This window comes from Homo sapiens, chromosome 5 (assembly GCF_000001405.40).
Source record: "Homo sapiens chromosome 5, GRCh38.p14 Primary Assembly".
Lineage (NCBI taxonomy): Eukaryota > Metazoa > Chordata > Mammalia > Primates > Hominidae > Homo > Homo sapiens.
This window is the reverse complement of record NC_000005.10, coordinates 151,422,891-151,441,089: the sequence shown is the minus strand read 5'-3', so window position 1 is coordinate 151,441,089 and position 18,199 is coordinate 151,422,891. Positions and strand designations below refer to the sequence as shown.

The window sequence follows — 18,199 nt, the reverse complement described above, 5'->3', positions numbered from 1 at the left end:
ACTTGGGAACTTGCAGAAATGCAAATTCTGGGTCCTACTCTACACCTACTGCATCAGAAACCCTGGGTTGTGGGGGCACAGCAATCTGCATTTTGAAAAGCCCTCTAGGAGAGTCTGATGCTCTCTCGTGCTGTAGAACCACTGCCCTAAAGGACAAGCTTCTGAAGGGACTTGCTTTAGCCATGTGCTAACATGTTGTGTGGCCAGCCCCTGGTAGTGACTTATTTCTGCTGAGTGGTAGAAAGTAATTTGAAGGTTTTTTTCCCCTTATTTCCCAGCTGGGTGACCTGGGCAAGACTTTTGATCTCCATTTGGTTTCATCATCAGGAAAGTGAGATTGAAAACCCTCCTTGGTTCTGCCTCCCTCCCTGGATTGCTGGAAAAGCAGATGAGATCAGGCGCTTAAAGGTTCTATATATAACATGAGGGGTTATGCTGCTGAGAGATATTAGGGAAATTAATCCTTTTGCATTCCATAGTCTTGAGGAATGTAACTTCCTTTTTTTTTTTTTAACCACTCTACCCATCCCAAGCCCTCAAGAGTACCAGCCCCTGAGATGTCATAGCAACCCTACCCAGTGTCCCCTTTCCCTCTCCTTCTCTCTTTTTGAGACCCCTTGGGTCCCTGATCCATCCTCCTGAACATTCTGTGACTGATGGCCCTACTGTCAAGCCTCTCTCTGTTAAGACCACTGCCCCCTACAGTGGCTTCTAACTCTAAAATTCTCAGGTTTTGTATCTTAAAAAATAAAAAATAAAGAAAATATGCTTACAATGTGCCAGGAACTAGTTTCTTGTTGATTGAGTCAATCCTCGTGGCAGCCCTATGAGGCATTTAGGAGATGCTGTAGGTGCCCTTCCTGTATCTCCTTTACCAGAGCTGCAGCCCCATCCCTAGCTGCGGTGAGTGTTGCCTGCTACACTGTAAAGCATGCTACACTGTTACGTAGGGATACAAAAGGCCTACCTACTTTTGTCACTATACAGAGAGCAATGCCGTTATTCACACTCATGAAACTCCTGTGGGTGGTCTGGGTAATTCTTCGCTGTAGTATAAGCATTCATCAGCATTATGATTTCAATATTTGGCAACCCAATCACAACAAAATTCAAGAATTTATTAAGTGGCACAAGTGCTGAAAAATGAATTTGAAAATTCCTTAACTTTGGAGTGGAAATTAGAAAAAATAAAATTCCTATAAAGAAGACCAAACACCATCAGATATGACATGCTGGTGCCTTAGGAGGGTGTCTCCTATAAAGTAAATTAGCACTGGAGTGGAACAGATGAAAAACAGCCACTGAAGCAAGAAATCATCAGCTCAAGTACATAGGAAAAGTGCTGGGGCCAGATCAATACAACTGGAATGTGCCTCAGGCCATGCTATTGTTTTAAACATTTCTTTTTCTTTTTTTTTTTTCTTTTCTTTTTTTTTTGAGATGGAGTCTCACTCTGTTGCCCTGGCTGGAGTGCAGTGGCATGATCTCAGCTCACTGCCACCTCCACCTTCCGAGTTCAAGCAATTCTCCTGCTTCAGCCTCCCAAGTAGCTGGACCTACAGGCACACACCACCACGCCTGGCAAATTTTTGTATTTTTAGTAGAGATGGGATTTGACCATGTTGGCCAGGATGGTCTTGATCTCCTGACATCATGATCTGCCCACCTTGGCTTCCCAAAGTGCTGGGATTACGGGAGTGAGCCACCATGTCCAGCCTGTTTTACACATTTCTTATTGTGATTTTTTGATGATTTGAAAGGAGGTAATTATGATATAATATGGTTTGGCTTTGTGTCCCCACCCAAATCTCATCTCGAACTGTAATCCCCATGTGTCAAGGGAGGGGCCTGGGTGGCAAGTGATTGGATCATTAGTGGTTTCCCCCATGCTGTTCTAGTGATACTGAGGGAGTTCTCAGATCTGATGGTTTAAAAGTGGCAGTTTCCCCTGCACTCTCTCTCTCTCTCTCTCCTGCTGCCATGTAAGACGTGCCTGCTTCCCCTTCACCTTCTGCCATGACTGTAAGTTTCCTGAGGCCTCCCAGCCATGTAGAACTGTGAATCAATTCAACCTCCTTTCTTCATAAATGATCCAGCCTCGGGTAGTATAGCAGTGTAAGAACAAACTAATACAGTGTTAGAACGAACTAATACCCAATAAAACATTATATCAATAGTATTTTTGTGGTAAATGAAATATGTTTAAAGAAAAAAAATGTGGCAAAGGTAATAGATGCATGCACTCTGAGGACTCAGAAAAAAATGTTGCAAGTAATTCAAAATTCTGTCCTGTGATTAAACAAGACTGCTCTGCCACCAATGCCAGGTCTCTGGTGCCTGGGAGAGTGCATGAGAGATGGTGAATTTTGCAGTGACAGAGACCTGCAGAGCATATGTCAAAGGATGCCAGAGAACACCTCTGCCTGACAACCTGCAGGCAGGATCACAATGACAGGAGTGTCAGAGCACATGTATGAGACCCAAGTACACTCCTCTTCTTGGAACAAAATGCTGCTCACACAGGAGCTCAACAAAAGAACAAGCTTTAAACACATTATATTGCTTTAACATAAGGAAGACTTTCCCAATCATGTGCAGTGGCCAATGGTGTACCATGAATGAGTTATAGGGGGTGCTGAGTGCCAGGTGGGTCCTAAGGTAGCTAGAGCACCTGAGGTGTTTTTTTTTTTAATCTCTAGTTAAGAACAGCCTGTTCTTTGATCTCAAGGACATATAAAGTGTTATTTCCTTCATGTTATGTGAAAAAGATTGGGAAGCACTGGGTAAGTAGGGTGTTCATATAATTTATTTGTTCAAGTGGAGACACTTTTAAGAATAAAAAGGCTGTGTTAACATTTCACCAGAACAACGGGCACACAGTGAAATTGTCCCAGGTAAAGTGGAATGTATGGTGTGGTAGGCAGAGTAACAGCTCCCAAAGACGTTAATTAATCTCGGGAACTTGTTACCTTAGATAGCAAAAGGGACTTTGCTGATGTGATGAAGTTAAGGATCTCGAGGTGAAATGACTATGCTGGATTATCTGGGTGGTCCTAGTATAAATCACAAGGTTTTTTAATAGGAGGGAGGCAGGAGGGTCAGAGAGGAGAGAAGTTTCTATTCTACTGGCTTTAAAGATGGAGGAAGACGCCATGAGCCAAGGAAACGCAGGAGGCCTCTAGAAGCTGGAAAAAGCAAGGAAACAGATTCTACCCTACAGCCTCCAGAAGAACACAGCCTTGTCACACCTTGATTTTAGGACCTCTGACTTCTAGAACTATAAGAGAATACATTTGCATTGTTCTAATCTACTAAATTGTGGTAATTTGTTATAGCAGCAACAGGAAATGAATATTATTTATAATCTAAAATAAATGTAGCTTTATGTTTATATCATTATTAAAGTTATGAAGGTAAGCAATAAAGAACTAAAACAGTAAAATAATTATATTGAGAAGTAAAGTACGAGAATTTAAGAGGTACAAATTTTCACCTAATATAATGTTGATCAATTGAGAAATATCATTATAGCTATATTGTATAGAGAAATGAAGAACTAAAGAACTAAAACAAACCACTGGTTTTACTACACTTGATCTTAGCCAAAAGACTAAGAAGCAATCAAACCACTGATTAAAAAACAGAAAGATAGTCCTAAAAAGAGCAGCTTTAGATAGAGTAAGTCAGATAAGGAGACTATAGCTTTTCATTATAAATTCTTTGGTTAAAATAAATCATAGTTTAAACATGAGCATTTTTAAAGATGTGAATATTAATTGTTAAAGTAAGATTGTGTTAGGGGACAACTTCAAGAGCTTATTGGGCTCAGGTTCTCCAAAGCTGTAGCCCCTTTCTACCTAAATTGTGTTCATGGCTTCCACCCAACTCAGAGCCTCCCCTAAACTCTTACTCAGCCAGCAGCTTCCTTGCTGTCAGTCTTGGCACAAGATAGGGCCAACTAGTAGATCCTTCTGAAACAAGGCAAGAAAAGACACCATTGAAAGGAATAGTTCCAGGGTTGGGCCCAGGCGGATGAAGAGCTCTGGAGCAAACCCCCAAAGCCCCATCTGTAGGGTGGGCAGACCTCAGTGTTACCTCACAATGGGAACAAAGGGCCTGGGAGTGCTCAGATGAGAGGAGAACCACCCATTGCCACTGAAAAAGTGAGGATGTAGGAGCCAAAAAAAAAGTCTGAGACCAGCCCTGCCACTTACTAGCAGGTCCCGTCAGTTTGGGCTTCTGTTTCTCACCAATGAAATGAATAGGAGAAGTTCAGCTCTCAGATCTTGCAACTCTGAGAGTCCTTTTCCCAGCTTCAGCTACCTTTCTCCTACCAAACGTGACTGGATAGTCCTAGGACATATATAATGTATCATTATATATGATACTGTGGCTTTAGGGTTTAGAATTTATTTGAGATGGTCTATGGCAATTCATTCATTTTACTCATTGGAAACTGAGCCTCAGAGAGACAGAGGCATTTGTTCAAGGTTACACTTTACAACCAGCTTGAGAATCTGTGGGTTCTCCTGTGACCACTCACATAGACCCTAAGATTCCTTGGTCACAATTTGCCATATGGTTGTGTGAGAACCTGTGACCCCTCACTTAGACCCTTGGAGTCCTTGATCATAATTTGCCATAGGAAGGTGCAGAATGGTGGATATGGTGGGGTGGCCCTCAACATCCACTCCAACCACCCTTCAATCTGCCTTTCAGTACTGTAGAGGCTAGAAAGAGTAGAATACATGCTGTATTATCTCATTAATATAAAGTTCAAGAGCAGGCAAAACTAATTTATGGTGACAAAAATCTAGACAGTGGTTATTGGGTATGTGAGGGAGGTGATGTTTGACTGCAAACAAGCAAAAAGAAACTTTCTGGGTAAGTTGCACCAGTGTATTCATTTGTCAAAACTCATTCAACTGTACACTTAAGATCTGTGCATTTTATTGTATATAAACTACACTTTAAAAATTTCAAGTAACTACCTTAGAGGGATGTTCATATATGAATAGGCAATTCATATATTGCCTATTACATAGTAGGTGCTCAATAAACAGTAGTAGCAGGGGCACTAGTAATAATTATTGATATTAATATTAATATATTGGCTTTCTTTTGGTAAAATTTGCCTGCTAAATCTTTCCTATCCCTTTTACTTTAAACTTTCTGCATTCTTATGTTTTAGATATGTCTTTCATAAATATTATTTTGATATTTTCAAAATTATTCTATTTATTGTATTAATAATTACAGATATATTTATAGTCATATTTACCTTGTTATTTTATTCTATATCTTCCACCTATTATGTTTTTTCTCCTTTACTGAGTTTCTTTTAGATTAATTTTCCCTTATTTTATTTTGTTTTATTCTCTAGTAATTTGGAACTTAAAGACTTTATTTCTATTCTCTAGCCATACCCTAGTAATTTTAACATGTATAAATTAATAAAGTATTAACAAAAAGTTAAGCAATATCTTTAGTCACTGCAGAAAATATAGGCACTTAAAAAAATCTCTATTCACTGCATTCCATTTTTTATAATAATAATGTCACATATTTTAAGTTTCTTTTCCTTATGCTCCATAATACTTTATTATTAGAATCAAGATTTACCCATACATTTACCTCTCTTGGGTTCTTTATTTCCTTTTGCATCTCAGATCTTCTTCTGAATATGGACTTTAAATTTTCCTTTAGTGAAGTTCTCTCCAATTTCTTTTGTTTGAAAATGTCTTCATTTTGCACTTAACAGATAGTTTATATCCTCTCAGCATATTGAGGTGATCATTCCAGTACCTTGTGGCTTCCACTGCTGTTAAGAAAACAGCTGACAGACTGACTGCAAATCTTTTCTTTTCCTTTTGAAATTTCTTTTACACTGCAACCCTTTTGAATGTAACACTTTTCACCAATCTGGCTGACTTTAGATCCCTTTAAAGTTCTGAAGTTTCACTATAAAGTGTCCAGATACGTGTGTCCTTTATTTATCCTGCTTGGAATTCACTGGGTCTCTTGAATCTGTGGGTTGGTGTCTTTCATCATTTCTGGACAATTCTCAGCCATTATCTTTTCAAATATTTATTCTACCATATTCCCTCTTAACTTTTCTTCTGCGAGTCTGATTTGATGTTGCCTTAGTCAGTTTGGGCTGCTATAACATATTACCATAGGCTGGGTGACTTAAACAACAAACATTTATTTCTCACAGTTCCGGAGACCGAAAAGTCCAAGATCAAGTTGCCAGCCGATCCTGTGTCTGGTGAGAGCTCACTTCCTGGCTTCCATGTGGCTGTCTTCTCATTGTATCCTCACATGGCAAAGAGCAGAGAGGACACAAACTCTCTCATGTCTCTTATTTCAGAGCACTAATTCTGGGCTCTACCTCATGACCTAATTACCTCCCAGAGATCCCCCTTCTTAATACCATCACACTGAGGGTTAGGATTTCAATACACAGTCCATGACAGATGTAGGATATATTTAGGTCTTTCATTCTATTCTCTATTTTCCCTCACTTTTCTTTTAGATTTTTCATCCCTTGGTCTCTGTGGACTATATTATGAATAATACCTTTCCCAGATCTAGTTCTGATTCACTAATTCTGTCTTCACTGTGCATAATCTCCTATCAAGCCCATCCATTTCAACTAAAATTAACTCAACTAAATTTTTAAAATTCAATTAATATTCAGTTTTAAATTTCAACTATTATAATTCTATTTTCTAGAAGTTTTATTTAATTAACTTTCCATTTCACCTGATTACTCTTCAGAGTATCTTTCTCCTTGTACATATCTTCCAGTACATTTTTTTCTGTTACTAAATATGTTAAAAAGAGCTACTTTTCGTTTGTATCATACATTTCTCTTTTGCAAAGTTCTTGTGCTATATTTAAATTTTCTCTTGTTTTGCTGTTTCTTGGAATTTTACTTACATAAATTCTTTAAGATCTGAAATGAAGGTGAGTCCCTCCTGAAAGACTTTGTATTTGCTTCTGCCAGCAGCTGGCAACTATCAGTCTAGGTTCTTGTGAACTACATTCTGGGCTGGAGGTATTCTGGACCACCATGGTAGATGAAGTAGACTGTGGAACAGAGTGAAACTTGAATTCTCATTCCACATTTTAGCCACAATTTTACTCCATCCTCTGGGCACTAGGTTCAGGACAGTCACTTTTTTTCCAAGTCCCTTGATTGGGAGGTAGGGAAGGAATAGGGTGGGGGTGGGATATTGATTTATTTCCAGTTCACTCTTACTCTGAGGAAGAGGTCCTCAGCTCCGGAATTTGTCTCATGCCCCATAAGGCCATGATATTAAAGCTCAACTTCACTGGGTTGAGCAAATACCCGTGGGAGTGAAGCTGTAGCTGCATTCCACTCAGGTCTCAGAGTTCCTGTCTTCACCTGGCTGAGTGAGTACTCACCTAGAAATTCCTTGCTCTCTTGATCTCCCCTCAATATTATTAAGAATTTTTTTAAAATATGTTATTCAGGCCGGGCGTGGTGGCTCAGGCCTGTAATCCCAGCACTTTGGAAGGCCAAGGCGGGCGGATCACCTGAGGTCAGGAGTTTGAGACCAGCCTGGACAACATGGTGAAACCCTGTCTCTACTAAAAACACACACAAAAAAAAACAGCTGGATGTGGTGGTGGGTGCCTGTAATCCTAGCTACTTGGGAGGCTGAGGCAGGAGAATCTCTTGAACCAGGGAAGCAGAGGTTGCGGTGAGCCAATGGCCTGCCATTGCATTCCAGCCTGGGCAACAAGAGTGAAACTCCGTCTCAAAAAAAAAAAAAAAAAAAAAAAAAAAAAAAAAATATATATATATATATATATATATATATATATATATATATATATATGTTATTCAGAAGTTTTAGTTATTTTCAGCAGGAAAGCCAACCTGGTTACCTAGCCTGTCATATTACCATGGTAATAATTATAATGAGTATTTTATTTTGAAAATTATAAACTGGAATCCCAGAATCACAATGCTTTATTGAGTATGTTCATTTTCTACCTCCATGTAACAAACTGCCACAAACTCAGTAGCTTCACATAACACATATTTATTATCTCACCATTTCTTTAGGTCAGAAGTCCAGGTATGGCTTTCACTGGGTCCTCTGCTTAGGATTTCATAAGGCTGCAATTACAGTGTTTCCAGGCTGTATTCTATATGTAGAAGTGACTGGGGAAGCATTTTCTTCCAAGCTCATTCAAGTTCTTGGCAGTAATAGAACTAAGGGCTCAGGCTTCTTGCTGTGTGACTGCTTTTTGCTTCTACTTCCTGAATTCCTTGAAATGTGGCCACCTCCATCTTCAAGCCATCAAACCCTTCTCATGCTGCTGGTCTCTCTGGCCTCCCTTTCTGCCCAACCAGAGAAAATTGCATTTAAAGAGTTCATCTGGTTGGGTCAAGCCCACCTGGATAGCTTCCTAGCTTCCACATCTTAAGGTCAACTGACTTGAGACTTTAATGACATCTGCAAATCCCCTTCACAGCATTACCTAGATTAGTGTTTAATTGAATAACCAGGGGATAAGAGTTTTGGGGATCTGAAAGCAAGGGGTAGAAAGGATGCCTACCCTCTCCTGACCCTGTGATGTGAATATGAGGGGGGTGAGGAAAAAAGACACTTCTCTCAGAGGCCTGCAAAAACAGCAGTGACCTCACGGGGAGCCACCTTTGAGTGGGAGCAAGAAGGTGGGGAAGACAGTGCAATGCAAGGGATTTTCCTTGTTCTCGGGGAAAGCTTTGCTGACCGCCTTTGCAAGAGCAACTGCTTTTGTTATACACTCATGCCTCTTTTCATTTTCCTTCAAAGTGCTTTATCACTGTTGAATTTTTAAAAACTTATTTATGAGAAACTATGATTAATATTTATAATTTCCAAGTTCATCGCCTCCAGGGACTGCAGTACCTGGAACTGTTTCATTCCCGGCACCCATCAAAGTGCCTGGCCTGTGATATTCAGTCATTTGGCAGAAAAAAAGAAAGAAAAGAAGAGATTGTCAGAGCAACTGTGAGGGCCTCTGTGTGTGCGGTGGAGAAGCCCATTTATCCATCCATTCATGCTTTTGGCCATTCATTCTTCCTAAGCTGCCGAGTCTGTGCCACTCTGGGCAAGGAGGGTAAAGCTGTATTTAAGCTCCTGAACTTATTAAGGCCCAAGAGCTGAGATCATATTTTGCAGCTCCTGCATGCCAAAGCTATTCTTGCTCACAGCCTCTGCCAAAGCCATGTGTATTAGTTCATTTTCACGCTGCTCATAAAGACACACTCGAGACTGGGTAATTTATACAGGAAAAAGGGTTTAATGGACTTACAGTTCCACGTGGCTGGGAAGGCCCCACAGTCATGGCGGAAGGTAAAAGGCAGTTTCACATGGTGGCAGAGAAGAAGGTTTGTGCAGGGAGACTCCCTTTTTTAAAACTATCCAATCTCATGAGACTTATTCACTATCACGTGAATAGCACAGGAAAGACCCACCCCCATGATTCAATTACCTATCACCGGGTCCCTCCTACAACACATGGGAATTGTGGGAGTTATAATTCAAGATGAGATTTGGGTGGGGGCACAACCAAACCATATCACCATGGCTGCTCCACACCCCTCACATGCCCAATACGTGGAGCTAAACAGTGAGGTATCCACCTGCCTGGGCCTGTGGGTGCCTCCACCAGCTGCCAGTCCCTGGATGATGCAGCCCAAAGAATACCCTGCCAGCCCCGAGGGAGGGTTCAGCAACTCCTCCACCCGGAGCTCCTGCTGCCAGGACAGGGCCAGCAGGACCTCGTAAGTGTCCTTTGCTCCACAGAAGCTTCTGGGCTTGAGACCTTGCACCTGAAAACTTTTGTGGAATTTTTCTTCTTTCTAGTAATCCAAAGAGCTAAATCTGTGCTCTCCTGTAGTTCTTGACAGACAAGCAAAGAGGTGTAGAGAAGTTGTGTTAGTAGCAAAAATAATGCTCCATGAAGTGATGCTTTGAATCCTAAGCATAACTCCTTAGAGGCGCATTCATTCAACATTCAACACCTGGGAACTGTGGAACTAAAGCAATGAACACAACATACCATTTGGGTCCCTGCAGCTAAGGATCTCACAGCCTAGGGAGGAAGATATGTACACACAGAAGTGAAATTCCAGGGAGTGAACTCAGTGTTCTACAAGGATTCAGAAAAGGAAGGTGTTATTTCCAGATGGTGAAAATGGGCAAGGCTTTGTGTTAGAGGAGCCAAGACTGATCTAGTCCTTGGAGAAATGATGTTGCCAGTGAGGATACCCAAAAAGCATTATCTACCTCCACTGAAGAAGATAGATCAAGCTTTATCCAGCAGAATAGTAACAATGGTATTGATTTCAGACAATAAGCATCAACTGAAATAATCCATGCAACAAACAACACAGTACCTGGCACACAGTAACTGTTCAGTAAAGGGTTAGCTAATTCTACGGACAGGCACGGTGGCTCATGCCTGTAATCCCAGCACTTTGGGAGGCCAAGGCAGGTGGATCATGAGGTCAGGAGTTCAAGACCAGCCTGACCAACATGGTGAAACCCCATCTCTACTAAAAATACAAAAAAATTTAGCCAGGCATGGTGGCGGGCACCTGTAATCCCAGCTACTCAGGAGGCTGAGGCAGAGAATTGCTTGAACCCAGGAGGCGGAGGTTGCAGTCAGCCGAGGTCACGCTACTGCAGCCTGGGTGACTGAGTGAGGCTCAGTCTCAAAAAAAAAAAAAAATTAGCCAGGTGTGGTGGCGCACACCTGTAATCCCAGCTACTCGGGAGGCTGAGGCAGGAGAATTGTTTGAACCCAGGAGATGGAGGTTGCACTGAGTCAAGATCATGCCCCTGCACTCCAGCCTGGGTAACAGAGCAAGACTCCGTCTCAGAAAAAAAAAAAAAAAAAAGTTTAGCTAATTCTAGCCTGACTCAGACTAGCTGCCCGGATGGTGAGAAACCCAAAGGCAATGACCAGGCCTTATTTACCTCTATATCCTCCTAATACAGAGCCTGAGCACAAGGAGCTCAGTAAAGGTTTGCAAAATGAATGCATGAACAAAAAAGGGATCTTCTATATCAATCTCTTAAATTACACAGGAGGGAAGATCTTTTTTGAGAATGAGTATCGTTGAATCTTGGAATGGGTTTCTGAAGAAGTCTATGTTATTGCCAAAGGTCTTCTAAGAAGATAAAATGGTCATCTGTCCTTGAAGGTCTAAGAGGCCAGCCTGCTTGAGGTCTGTTTCTACGTGTGTTCAAGCATTGGCTGTAGTAGGAAAAAGTCAAGCATTTTATGAGAGGAAGAGAATGTTGAGCTAAATGGCTTCTAAGGATGCAGGATAACATGTGGCTAAGACACAGAGAAACACTCAGATTCCAGTCCCAGTTTTGCTATTCCTATATTAGTTGTGTGACCTTGAGCAGGCTGTCCCCATTCCTGAGCCCAAACCTTTTAAAATCATAGGTAACAATGATAGACTGGATTAAGAAAATGTGGCACATATACACCATGGAATACTATGCAGCCATAAAAAATGATGAATTCATGTCCTTTGTAGGGACATGGATGAAACTGGAAACCATCATTCTCAGCAAACTATCGCAAGGACAAAAAAGCAAACACTGTTATGTTCTCACTCATAGGTGGGAATTGAACAATGAGAACACATGGATACAGGAAGGGGAACATCACACTCCAGGGACTGTTGTGGGGTGGGGGGAGGGGGGAGGGATAGCATTAGGAGATATACCTAATGCTAAATGACAATTTAATGGGTGCAGCACACCAACATGGCACATGTATACATATGTAACAAACATGCACATGTACCCTAAAACTTAAAGTATAATAATAAAAAAAATTTTAAAAAATAAAAATAAAAAAATAAAATCATAGGTAAAATGCTGAGAAGAATATCCACTGCTTAGAGTTGTTGAGAGAGTGAAATGAGGCCATAGGGATAAGCATCATGCAACTAGCACTTATACCTGGGATTTCTCCCTACAATCCTGTGCAGAGCAGTATCTCAAACTGGTTCAGGCATTCTGTGGATTTTCTGCCTATTCCAGAGATGTGACAGCTTTACCCATTTCACAAGGAGCTTTCTCCTCAAGAGCTCAAAATGCAGCAGACGGACGGCCAGGTGCAGTGGCTCACGCCTATAATCCCAGGACTTTGGGAGGCCAAGGTGGGCGGATCACCTGAAGTCAGGAGTTCGAGACCAGCCTGGCCAACATGGTGAAACCCCGTCTCTACTAAAAATACAAAAATTAGCTGGGTGTGATGGCGCATGCCTGTCATCCCAGCTACTCAGGAGGTTGAGGCAGGAGAATTGCTCAAACCCAGGAGACAGAGGTTGCAGTGAGCCGAGATCATGCCACTGCACTCCAGTCTGGGCAACAGAGTGAGACTCGGTCTAAAAAAAAAAAGTCAGCAGAGTAAGGAAATGCTCTTTATCACTTGTCTCCAGGATGCTCCCCAAGTGAAGGCCAGGCTGCCTGTTCTGGAACCTTGGATGCAATGAGATCCATAGTTGGCAACGGTGCCAAGAGAACAAAGAAGAACAATGCATCTGAGAGAGCCACTGTGACACCTAGAGCTCACTTCTGCATGGCCAGCTAGGGCCTGGAGATGCAGCCAGGGGAATGAGTTGGGAGCTAGGCCACCCCTTGCTCCTCCCAGGATTGCCTCCCTCAGTAAAAACACCTGGTTTTTGAAGACTGCTTTTTTTCTGCTGAGGGACAATATCATGAGGTCACAGAAATTGCAAGTGAGACAACACCATGGAGGTCATCTCATCCTGTACACCCCTGCCTCCTATCAGTCAGGATTTAGAGTAGAAAACATACTACTTGAGGCAGAAAAATATCAGAAATATATTTAGGAATGGTAATTAAAGGCTTACATAGCCATTAGAAAGATTGGAGGAGAGAATTCCAGGCTGGACTTCCCAGAAACATGTCTCTGGAGTTGCCGCCAGGGAGAGCCACCACCTCCACCACAATCGGGAGGCTGAAGCCTGAGTCCCTGGGGGACCGGGGTCAGGAGCACGAGGCTGTAGCTGTGTCCCAGGGATCTGCTGGTGCTGCTGCTGCAGTGGCCTCTGGACACCCATTTTGACCTTCCTATTTTCTATCTAGAACTGTAGCTTCCAGGAGTCTGGGAGATGTAACTGTTCACTCTCCAGCCTCTGCAGTAGAGGAACGCACACCAAAATAATGTAACTGTCCTTCAACCCTATCCCACATCCCTCCATCTCTGTCTGAATACCCTGAGTGGCAGGGAGCTCGCCTTATGTTGGAGAGATCTGAGTGCTGTGATTAGGGTGAAAGTTGCTGCACAGGGGTCCCCACTGGAACGCATGGCACTGTCTCCCCCTCGCCCCAGTGACAGCACTTCCGAGAGGGGCAGGGTGTGAGTATGTATGGCCATCCTAGTTTCCAAGAAGTCCTTTCAGGCTCTACTCCTAAGACATAGTTTCCTGGCCCCTGACAACTTAACTCACCTCTGAACAGGTTTCAGTCTGACAAAACTCTTAACAAAGTGAAAAATAAGGAACTAAGCCCCAAAAGGCAAATGAACCCCACAGGGAGCTGCGACTCAGGACAGAAAGTGTGACACATGGTGGTTGCCAGAACAGGTGCAAATAGTCCCTGTCACCCTCTGCTGGTGGAGAAGCAATTGAAACAGCTCCCTGGGGGTAATTTGCCGATGTCTCTCAAAACTCTAAAAGCACTTACCCTTGACCCACTCACTATCTCCACTTCTGAGAATGTATCCAACAGACAAGCCCTCATGTATATATAATGTGTATATGTGTATGTGTAATATGTATAATATATCCACAATTATTCATTTCAGCTTGGCTGAGAGTGGCAAAAGACTGAAGCAACCACATATAGGGGGCTGGCTAAATAAGCCATGATACTGTGGGGTAAAGAAAGAGAGATCAGACTGTTACTGTGTCTATGTAGAAAAAAGAAGACATAAAAAACTCCATTTTGTTCATGTACTAAGAAAAATTCTTCTGCCTTGAGATGCTGTTCATCTGTACCTGTAGCCCCAACCCTGTGCTCGCAGAACCATGTGCTGTGTTGACTCAAGGTTTAATGGATTTAGGGCTGTGCAGGATGTGCTTTGTTAAAAATGTGTTTGCAGGCAGTATGCTTGGTAAAAGTCATCGCCATTCTCCAGTCTCGAGTACCCAGGGACAAAATGCGCTGCGGAAGGCCGCAGGGACCTCTGCCCAAGAAAGCCTGGGTATGGTCCAAGGTTTCTCCCCACTGAGACAGCCTGAGATATGGCCTCGTGGGAAGGGAAAGACCTGACCATCCCCCAGCCCGACACCCATAAAGGGTCTGTGCTGAGGAGGATTAGTGAAAGAGGAAGGCCTCTTTGCAGTTAAGAGGAAGGCATCTGTCTCCTGCTCATCCCTGGGAATGGAATGTCTCGGTGTTTAACACCCGATCATATGTTCTATTTACTGAGATAGGAGAAAACTGCCTTATGGCTGGAGGTGAGACATGCTGGTGGCAATACTGCTCTTTACTGCACTGAGATGTTTGTGTAAAGTCAAACATAAACCTGGCCTACGTGCACATCAAGGCACAGCACCTTTCCTTAAACTTATTTATGACACAGAGACCTTTGCTCACGTTTTCCTGTTGACCCTCTCCCCACCATTATCCTATAGTCCTGCTACATCCCCCTCACCGAGATAGGAGAGATAGTGATCAATAAATACTGAGGGAACTCAGAGACCAGTGCTGGCGCAGGTCCTCCATATGCTGAGCACCGGTCCCCTGGGCCCACTGTTCTTTCTCTATACTTTGTCTCTGTGTCTTATTTCTTTTCTCAGTCTCTCGTCCCACCTGATGAGAAACACCCACAGGTGTGGAGGGGCTGGCCCCCTTCAGACACAACCAACAGAATAGCATGCAGTTGTTAAAATGAAGAATGAACACATCTATTGTGCACTGATATGCACAACATCCCTCCTTAAAAAAATAAGGGTAGAAGTGAGTTTAATACTGCAAAGAAAAGTATGTGTGTATGGACATAGGTATAGATAGATAGATAGATAGATAGATAGATAGATAGATAGAGGGAGAGAGAGAGGGACTATCTCTGGAAGGATACATGAGAAACTATTAACAGTGATTGCTTCCAGAAAGGGGAATTGGGACTTCAGGGGTCACAGGAGGGAAGATTTACTTTTTATTCTATAAACTTTTAAAATATTTATATTTTTACCATGTATAATATCACTTATTCTGGTAAACTATGTATCTATTTAAAAATAACTAGGCCTTATAGTCCAAATACGGCCTGTGTTCTGAAGAGAAAAGTCAGGCTGTGAATTTCGTTTCTAGATAACATTTTTTGTAAATACAGACTTGGGACACGATGGGTTTTATTTTTGTTTCAGTCATTTACCTAATTAATTTATTCACTCATCATCCATCCATCCATCCATCCATCCACTCATCCACCAACCTGTCCATCCATCTACCCATCCATCCATCCATTGGTCCCCCCACATTCACACAGTGACTCTCTACACTGGGTATTTGCAAGAAGCCTGTCTGCCAGCTCTTCCCCAGGCAGTTGGCTCTGGGGCCAAGGTCAGCAGTGGCCAGCCTCTCTCTTGCCTTCCTTCTCTTCCTCCCTAGGTGGTTGCAAACCCTGATCTACATAGTAAAAGGCAACATTGACTTGCAGCTCCTGAGCCTGCCCCAACCATGAAGAATGTGGGCATCTTGGTAAGAGGGGCTGGGAGTGGTCCTGACAGCGGCGCGGGGCGGGGCGCCGGGGCGTGGAATGTGGGGTGGGGATGTCTTTGGTGATCGTACATTTGCCTGAAAGCAAACCTCACCTGAGTGACATGGGACACAGTTTGACATCAAGTGTCCTTGTGACCATTTCTCTCTCAGGAGTCCCCATTAACAGGTTGACTCTGCTGCACAACTTGGGATCAGAAAGTCTGAGTTCACCCCAGCTCTGCTGCTTGTAAGCCAGGTGAGCTTATGTGAGCCTTAGCCCTTTTTTTGTTGTTTATTTTTTAACAGCTTTGTTGAGGTATCCTTTATACACCATATAATTTATTCATTTTTAGTGTACAACTCAATGAATTTTCAGTAAATTTACAAAGTTGTGCAACCATCACCACAATCTAATTTTAGAACAAATTGCATTGCCCCTAAAAACTTTCTGTTTATTTACAGTCACTCCCTCTCTAGCTCTTTTGAGCCTCAGTTTCCTCACTTGTAAAATGGGAATTGACAGCTTAGTTATTAGAAAGATTAAATTAAACAATTTTGTAAGATTATTTTGTAAACTTTAGAATACTCGACAATCAAATGGTTTCTATTATTATTATTATTTATTAATGATTATTCTCATCTCATTTATTCCCTAGGCCAGAGGATCATACCTGGGTCTTAGGAATTCCATAAGACTCATGAAATTGTAGGCAAAGTCTAGTGATTAATATCTGCTCTTTTTCTGGGAGATAAATTTATTTCATGCAAAATGAGTCTGTGACAAAACAAAAAAAGCAGACAAGGTTATACATGTCTCTAGACTGTCATGTGGAGTGATAACCCTTTTCTTCCCTTTTGACTTGGAAGTCCATCTTGTCTTCCCTTCCTACCTTCTTAGCTTCGCTTGTCTGCCTTCTTAGCTCTGGAGATCAGTTTTGTCCCTAAAACCTGTCCTCTGCCTTTCTTCCTCCAGCATCACTGAAACCCCCATCCCTTCGCCTTCTCTGAAGTTGCTGCACACTTTGGGTTCCATCATTGTTCTCTGTGATATTAGAGGTGACTGGGAGAGTCTCCATGTTCAAACCCATGTCCTGTCCAACATAATGTACTTTTATTGCCAGACTCTCCACTCTCCACACCCAGGCAATGAGAGGCTGTTTCTGCAGAGTGGTTGAGAGGGAGGGTGGCATAGGCAGCCCCGCCTGCCATGGTGTCTTATTGCCCATTCATGTGAGGCGACTTGTACATTTGTACCAATATTATCAAATGGCAGAGTTCTTAGTCTTCCCGTGTACATTTCTTAAATATTCAAGGTTTTTGTTTTGTTTGTTTGTTTTTTAATAGATCGTATTTTTTCTAGTAGTTTTAGGTTCACAGCAAAATTAAGAGGAAGGTACAGAGATTTCCCATATACCCTCTCCCTACACACACTCACTGCCTCTCCCATTATCAACATCCACTACCACAGTAGTACATTTGTTGTATCAGGGAAGCTACCTTGACACAGCATTATCACCCAAAGTCCTTAGTTTACATTAGGGTTCACTTTTGGTGTTGCACATTCTATGTTTTTTGGACAAATATACAATGGCATGTGTCCACCATTATAGTATCATACAAAGTACTTTCACTGCCCTAAAAATCCTCTGTGCTTCATCTGTTCATCTCTCTCTCCCACAACCCCTGGCCACCACTGATTTTGTTTACTGTCTCCATAGCTTTGACTTTTCCGGAGTGTCATATAGTTGAAATAAGCAATATGCAGCCTTTTCAGATTGGTTTCTTTCACTTAGCAATATGCATTTAAGGCTCCTCCATGTCTTTTTATGACTTGATAGCTCATTTCTTCTTAGTGCTAAATAATACTCCATTGTTCCTGTGTGTCATTGTTTATTTATCCATTCACTTACCGAAGGACATTTTGTTTGCTTCCAAGTTTTGGCAATTATGAATAAAGCTGCTATTAACATTCACATGCAGGGTTTTTTGTGGGTGTAAATTTTCAACTCATTTGGGTAAATACCAAGGAATGCAATTGCTAGATCATACGGTAAGAGTATATTTCATTTTGTAAGAAACTGCCAAACTATCTTCCAAAGTGGCTGTACCATTTTGCATTCCCGAACCAGCAACAAATGAAAGTTCCTGCTGCTTTACATTCTCACCAGCATTTGGTATTATCAGTATTTTGGATTTTGATTGTTCTAATAGGTTTGTAGTGGTAGCTCATTGTAGTATGGATTTGCAGTTCTCTGGTGACATATGATGTGGAGCATCTTTTCATATGCTTATTTGCCATCTTCTTTGGTGAGGTGTCTGTTCAGGTCTTTTGTCTATTTTTGTGTTGTGTGTGGGGAGTGGAGTGGGGCACAGGGTCTCACTCTGTTGCCCAGAATGGAGTGCAGTGATGCCATCTC

General features: G+C 42.1%; 1 protein-coding gene and 1 long non-coding RNA gene across 10 annotated transcripts in view, besides 5 other annotated features; one reads left to right on the top strand and one right to left on the bottom strand.

The window, feature by feature from the left end:
* The window catches only part of SLC36A1 (solute carrier family 36 member 1), a 211,490-nt gene that overhangs the window by 114,996 nt on the left and 78,295 nt on the right, over nt 1–18,199 (bottom strand). For 2 of the 4 annotated variants that reach the window (XM_011537585.1, NM_001308151.2), the window contains exon 1: nt 3,911–4,044. The exons of 1 other annotated variant lie outside the window; for it this stretch is intronic. The gene's annotated coding sequence lies outside the window, so the exon portion shown is untranslated. Of the gene's footprint in view, nt 1–3,910; nt 4,045–5,634; nt 5,651–18,199 lie in introns of those variants that run through there. One more of the 4 variants, XM_047416924.1, reaches the window with a different exon arrangement.
* Nucleotides 4,134–4,304: a silencer, noted in NCBI's record as "fragment chr5:150816347-150816517 (GRCh37/hg19 assembly coordinates)". NCBI's record gives its function as "represses an EF-1alpha promoter that drives an FKBP-Casp9 reporter gene in an ReSE screen in HepG2 liver carcinoma cells {active_cell/tissue: HepG2}" and the evidence as "EXISTENCE:reporter gene assay evidence [ECO:0000049][PMID:32094911]".
* LOC105378234 (uncharacterized) overlaps nt 4,152–18,199 on the top strand; it is an 84,540-nt gene continuing 70,492 nt past the window's right edge. For 4 of the 6 annotated variants that reach the window (XR_944423.4, XR_944426.4, XR_007059005.1 and 1 more), the window contains exons 1-3: nt 4,152–4,884; nt 15,693–15,782; nt 15,954–16,038. This is a non-coding gene — a long non-coding RNA (uncharacterized LOC105378234). Of the gene's footprint in view, nt 4,885–6,217; nt 6,269–15,692; nt 15,783–15,953; nt 16,039–18,199 lie in introns of all 6 variants that reach the window. The other 2 variants (XR_007059004.1, XR_007059006.1) reach the window with 2 other exon arrangements.
* Nucleotides 15,250–15,750: an enhancer, noted in NCBI's record as "NANOG-H3K4me1 hESC enhancer chr5:150804901-150805401 (GRCh37/hg19 assembly coordinates)". NCBI's record gives its function as "activates a minimal SCP1, AML or CMV promoter by ChIP-STARR-seq in naive H9 embryonic stem cells {active_cell/tissue: H9 hESC(naive)}" and the evidence as "EXISTENCE:reporter gene assay evidence [ECO:0000049][PMID:30033119]".
* Nucleotides 15,250–16,251: a biological region, named in NCBI's record as "NANOG-H3K4me1 hESC enhancers GRCh37_chr5:150804400-150804900 and GRCh37_chr5:150804901-150805401".
* Nucleotides 15,670–15,839: an enhancer, noted in NCBI's record as "experimental_82492 CRE fragment used in MPRA reporter constructs". NCBI's record gives its function as "activates a minimal promoter by MPRAs in K562 erythroleukemia cells, with activity observed for both the introgressed and non-introgressed 5:150804897 variant alleles {active_cell/tissue: K562}" and the evidence as "EXISTENCE:reporter gene assay evidence [ECO:0000049][PMID:34662402]".
* Nucleotides 15,751–16,251: an enhancer, noted in NCBI's record as "NANOG-H3K4me1 hESC enhancer chr5:150804400-150804900 (GRCh37/hg19 assembly coordinates)". NCBI's record gives its function as "activates a minimal SCP1, AML or CMV promoter by ChIP-STARR-seq in naive H9 embryonic stem cells {active_cell/tissue: H9 hESC(naive)}" and the evidence as "EXISTENCE:reporter gene assay evidence [ECO:0000049][PMID:30033119]".